The following is a 6861-nucleotide window of genomic DNA, read 5'->3' as shown; positions in this document are numbered from 1 at the left end:
GAAGTAGATCAAGCTGTACTCCCAAGCATCCCTCTCAAAACAGTGACTTTAAAATCTAAGATCTAGAGAATAGGAAACTACTTTTTTACTGAAGTAGTCCATGAACGAAGAAGGATGTTAAACATTTAGTAAGTGGTCAAAAAATATCTATTGCATTAATTAAATGGTGAATAAAAATTAAATTAACAATAACTTATTGTATATTTAAAAATAACTTGGCCAGGCATGGTAGCTTATACCTGAAATCCTAACGCTTGGGAGGGCAAGGTGGGAGGATCATTTGAGCCCAGCAGTTGCAGACCAGCCTGGGCAACATAAGAAGCCCCCATCTCTACAAATTTTTTTTTTAATTAGCCAAGTGTAGTTGTGTGTGCCTGTCCTTCCAGCTCTTAGGGAGGCTGAGGTGGGAGGATTGCTTGAGCCCAGGAGGTCAAGGCTGCAGTAAGCCGTGATTGCACCACTGCACTCCAGCATGGGTGGCAGAGTGAGACCTTGCTTCAAAAAATAAAAAAGTAAATAATAAAAAATAATGAAAAGTGGAATTGGAATGTGTTTAATACAAAAAAAAGACAAAGGTTTGAGGCAATGAATACCCCAATTACCCTGATTTGATCATTACCCATTGTATGCCTTTATCAAAACATCACATGTACCCCATGCATATATTCAACTACCAGGTACTCAAAAATAATTAAAATTTTTTAAAGTAAATAAAAATATGAATAGAAAAATATAAAAAGTTTTTAGAGTCACAAGTCCCATGGAGGGAATAAATATTTATAATATAGTATGTGGTTTGTTTAATTTATCAAAATATGCTGTAGGAGTTGCTGTAAGAATTTCTTCTAATTCAGAGTACAATTAGTTTACATCTTTATCTGTGTGTGAATAGATGCCCAGACACATAATTATGTGATCTTTTTCTTAATAATGTGAGAAAAGTTTCAAAAAAACTTGTTAATTGAATGTTAGATGAGAACAATAGGGACTATAGAGTAAATGAATCTTATTATTTTCAAGTTATCTATCACTCCCCTTTTCTTTACCACTTCTTTCTCTAACTGTTCTCCATAGTTGTGGTAATATTTACTCTGAGTTTGCTCAATGTAGAAAATGAGGCTTATTTAGTCATTTGCTGTTATGGAATCAGTCCTCTTTACTTTTGTGTTATAAATTCAATTGTAATTTTTAAAGTAATATGCCAGTTCATACAATGTATATTTACATCAATAAATTCATTTGGCTATAGACATTTGACTATCTTACAAAAAGTCACAATCTTAATAACTAGAACCCTTATTGCTTACTTACGGTTGTAATGAAAGTTCATAACATAAAGAGACAGAAAATATAATTATATTTTCTAAGAATTATTTTTACTCAGCATCTATTTAATAAGTCAACACCCGATGTCATTAAGTCATTGTTCAAGATAGCACTAGTATGCCCTATTGAGGTACCTTTTCCTTCTTATACTTCTGACCCTAATCCCCAAATTGATGTTCCTTTCTCAAGGTGAATTTTCTGACATGTCATTAATTATTTTTCCATTTTGTTTAATCTTATTACCTGTGGTACTTTGTCAGATCTTTTGAATTTAGACACATGTGGTTGCTTGCTAGAGGGATTAAAACACGTCAGGAATCTCACTTTTCTTGACAACTACATTATGACACCTCTAGCATTGGCGTGTTTTACATTTTCATGTTTTTTTCTGATTTGATTGACACATTGCCTACAAATTGCAATAGCTCTTGAATATATTTTCTTGATTATACCCTCAAGAACTCCACCCCCTATAAGTGAGTATGCTCTGATTTTCAGAAGCAAATATTCTTGTAATTAAAAGAACACTCTGTTTTCCTTATTTAGCAGTGTCAAGGAATAGTTACTTATTTAGGATTAGAACTCTAAATTTTATTGGCTTATAAATACCATCATTCAGGTGATATTTGGAGTAAAAATTTCCCCATTCTATAGCATTTAGCTTTTAATTTATCCCAAAACCCATAGTATGCAGTAAATGTCTATTATGTAAGAATTACTGACTATAAGTCTTTTTTTTAAAAGGTGTATCTGAAAGAAACTTAATTAATACACTGAATTCACCTAGCAACATGCTGGGTTTACACCATAAATCATTTTCCAGAAGATAGCAAGGTGAAATGGAGACTACTTTAAAAATAACAGTTTGGCAATTTCTTTACAGATATGAAAATATAACTCTTGCCTTTCACCTTGAGACAGAGAGCCTGTCTAATAAAGGATGTGGATTCAAATAATTTGACCAAATAAAAAAATTATCTTGATCTCTATACTAGTTTCCTAGGGGGCCCAAATATCTTACCGCAAAACAACAGAAATTTATTCTTTTATAGTTCTGTAGGCAAGTTCAAAGTCAAGGTGCATTCAGGGTCATGCTCCCTTTGTAGGCTCTAGGGATGATTCTTTCCTTGCCTCTTCCTAGCTTCTGTTGGCTCCTAAGAATCCTTGCATTGCAGGGCTTGCTTCTGCATCATGCCAATCTCTACTTTCATCTTCAAATGACCTTTTCTCTGTGTCTCTATCTCTTGAATATTCGCCTTCTTTATTTTATAAAGATGTGGTCAGTGGGTTTAGAACCCACACTAATCCAGCCTGACCTCTTCTTAAGTAAGTACATCTGCAAAGACTCTGTTTCCAAATAAAGTCATATTCTGGGGTTCTAGGTAGACATGAATTTTGGGAAGATACTAATCAACTAATTATAGTCTCTATGAAGCAGATAAAATATAAGAAAACATTTCAAGCAAGTAAAGAATCTTACAGATAAACCATTTTTTAAAAGGTAATATCAACTCAATCATTCAATTGTCATAAATTCCTAGTAAGACTAGTACACCTACCTGCACCAGACTTACCTACACTGACTATCACAGCACACAAGGGACAGCCCAGTACTCCATGTGCTTTTTCTGAGACTGCCCCTTCCTTAGTGTTGATACTATAAGACTATTAATTGCAAACTAGCCACTGACAGGACAAATCATAAAAAAGAAGTTGTAATTAGAGCTGATTACCCACTCATTTCTAAGAGAATATCAGCACAAATCCCATCTGGATTGTATCCCCACCTCACTCACTTATTACTGGGTGCATACTCAAAAGATTATAAATCATTCTACTAAAAAGACACATGCACAAGTATGTTTATTGCAGCACTGTTCACAATAGCAAAGACTTGAAACCAACCCAAATGTCCATCAATGATAGACTGGATAAAGAAAATGTGGCACTTGGCCAGGCGCAGTGGCTCACGCCTGTAATCTCAGCACTTTGGGAGGCCAAGACAGGCGGATCACGAGGTCAGGAGATCGAGACCATCCTGACCAATACAGTGAAACTCCATCTCTACTAAAAATACAAAAAATTAGCCAAGCGTGGTGGTGGGTGCCTGTAGTCCCAGCTACTCGGGAGGCTGAGGCAGGAGAAAGGCATGAATCCAGGAGGCGGAGGTTATAGTGAGCCAAGATCGTGCCACTGCACTCCAGCCTGGGTGACAGAGCGAGACTCTGGCTCAAAAAAAAAAAAAAAAAAAAAAGGAAAAAAGAAAAAAAGAAAATGTGGGTGGCACTTATACACCATGGAATACTATGCAGCCATAAAAAAAGGATGATTTCATGTCCTTTTGCAGGGACATGGATGAAGCTAGAAACCATCATTCTCAGCAAACTAACACAAGAATAGAAAACCAAACACCACATGTTCTCATTCATAAGTGGGAGTTGAACAATGAGAACACATGGACACAGGGAGGGGAACATCACACACTGTGGCCTGTCAGGGGTTGGGGGGATAGCGTTAGGAGAAATACCTAATATAGATGATGGGTTGGTGGATGCAGCAAGCCACCATGGCATGTGTATACCTATGTAACAAACCTGTATGTGCTGCACATGTATCCCAGAACTTAAAAGTATATTAAAAAAAAAGAAAAGAAAAAAATACGGTCATTTTATAATTTGGTTTCCAAATCAGGGCAAGAGGGTGGAATAATAGTTATTGAAGATGGTAATGTGGAAGGAGGGTGAAGGACGAGAAATTACTTCGTGGCTACAATGTACAGTATTTAGGTGATGATTACTTTAAAAGCTCAGACTTCACTACTACACAATATGTCCATGTAACAACACTGCACTTGTTCCCCTTAAATTTATAGTAAAAAAAAAAAAAAGGACGGTGCAAGGAAACACTGTTAAAAATTACACTGAGACCACAGACATAAAAGAAGGTAGGAATCTGCCTGTTCTACCAATAATTGTGTCTCATTGGGACTTTGTTCCCAAGTCTCTACTTAGGCACTGAACTAAATACATGTGGGATTCCACTTTTCTCATTTTTCAAACCCTTGCAATGTGCCCTCCCAAACTTACATGGGCTATCACTGATAAAATGGAATTCCCAACCTCTGTCTTAGTGTTGCTGTCACCAGCTTGTTCTATCTCAAACCTGGCTGCAACCCCATCCAACAGAGACTATACTGACATTTCTTCTAGTAAGGATGTTGAAGTTGAGGTAGATGTCTTCCTTCTTTTCCCTTGAAAACTTCTTTGCTTGAAAATGCCATTCACTTAACAAGACACAACCTCACACTACACCACTGATACATCCTATGCTTTGTTGGTTATCCAATAACCTCCAAGTCATTCCCCATCCTTTCTTGAAAATTTTATTATTTAGTTCACTATTTCCCTCTCCAGCACTACTTCTGTGGCAATTTTAGTGACTAAAAATTTCAATGGTATTCTCCACCTCCACCCTTGTTATTCAGTTCTTTGGGTTTACTACTGCTGACAATAGTAACCTTCACCTCTTGACAGCCACCCCTCCCACATGAGACATCACTGTTACCCATGAAAATCTCAGTTTTCAGCACCCACTATCAAATCATCCCTGTGTACTAGGCTATTCTTATTAGCATACAAACATGCTGTCATATTTCTTACTTACAGAAGAAAAACAATTACTACATCCACCTCCATCTCTGTCTCCTAATCTAGTTCATGTTGCAGTACAAACACAACTCACTAGAAGTGTTGTCTACAATCTCTGCCGAATTGCCCTCTGTAGTCACATTACACTTTCTTTCTTTTTTCTTTCTTTCTTTTTTTTTTTTTTTTGAGACAGAGTCTCACTCTGTCGCCCGGGCTGGAGTGCAGTGGTGCGATCTCGGCTTACTTCAAGCTCCACCCCCCGGGTTCCCGCCATTCTCCTGCCTCAGCCTCCCAAGTAATTGGGACTACAGGCGCCCGCCATCACGCCTGGCTAAATTTTTGTGTTTTTAGTAGATACGGGGTTTCACCGTGTTAGCTAGGATGGTCTCGATCTCCTGACCTCATGATCCGCCCATCTCGGTCTCCCAAAGTGCTGGGATTACAGGCGTGAGCCACTGCGCCTGGCCACCACATTATACTTTCATCCCAATAACTCTACCAGGTACAAGGGAGGGGGAAATCTCTTATCATCACAGCCAAAAATGTTCTTCTTGGATCTCTCAGTAGCACTGGCACATAATCACGCTTTCCTTCCTTCTTGAAATACCTGCTTCGCTCAGCATCCGGGACACTTTACCTTCCTGCCTGTCCTCCGACTTCACTGTCAAGCCTTCCTCAGTATGCTTTGATGAATCATCAACATTGAGTTGTACCAAGACTTAGTACTGTGCCTTTTTCCTTTCTGTCTCTGTTTTCACTCCCTGAGTCGTATTTTCCCTGCTCCTGGCTTGATCTTTCTTTTATACAGTATTGATTTTCACAATAGTGAGAAGTTTTATTCACAACTTGTGCATCTTTGTCCATAGCTGCTCACTCCTATTCAATTACTTAGTCATCATCCATGCTTGGAAGTCAAATGTGTATCTCAAGTTTAACAAAGCCAGGACAAAACTCTTATTACCGCCACACACCTTTTTAAATTCATCAATCTCCTAATAAATATCTCCATCATTCACCCAGTTAGAGTAAATATTTAGAAATCATTGTTGAATCCTTTCTCTTTCTTTCTTACATCACATTCATTAACACTGATGATCCTTCTTTCAAAATAGGCAATCAGACTACTTCTTTCCATTCATTACCACCCTAGCTTAAGTTACAATCATAGCTCTTGTAAGTGACAAATATAGTCTCCTTACAGCCATTTCTTCCACCATTTTTGCCTGAAATCCATGTAAACATGGGCATCCTCTGTCATCTTTTTTCAAAGGCAAATAAAATTCAATCCGTCCCTTGCTAATTCTATCACACTTAAAACAAAATGCCAAATGCTTACTGCAATCTCTGCCTGCTGGGTTCAAGTGATTCTCCTGCCTCAGCCTCCCGAGTAGCTGGGATTACAGGCACATGCCACCATGCCCAACAAATTTTCGTATTTTTAGTGGAGATGGGATTTCTCCATGTTGGCCAGGATGGTCTTGAACTCCTGACCTCAGGGTGATCAGCCCACCTCGGCCTCCCAAAGGGCTGGAATTACAGCCCGCCTATTTCTTATTAATTTAGTCTTAGTAGATTGTATGTGTCTAGGATTTTTTCTGTTTTCTCTAGATTGTCTAATTTGTGGTCATATAATTATGCATAGTAATTCTTATTATATATATAATTTATTTAATTTCTGTTGTAAATGTTGTAATGTCTTCTCTTTTATTTCTTATTTTATTTATTAAAATCTTTCTCTCTTGTTTTCTTAGACTACCTAAGAGTTTGTTAATTTTGTTTCTTTTCAAAAAGCCAACTCAGTTTTATTGACTTTTTAAATTATTTTTCTATTGTTGATTTCATTTATTTCTGCTCTAATATTCATTATTTCCTCCCTTTTAATAACTTT

Source organism: Homo sapiens, chromosome 11, assembly GCF_000001405.40.
Source record: "Homo sapiens chromosome 11, GRCh38.p14 Primary Assembly".
Classification (NCBI taxonomy): domain Eukaryota; kingdom Metazoa; phylum Chordata; class Mammalia; order Primates; family Hominidae; genus Homo; species Homo sapiens.
The sequence above is the reverse complement of the archived record's forward strand: the minus strand, read 5'-3'. Positions refer to the sequence as shown.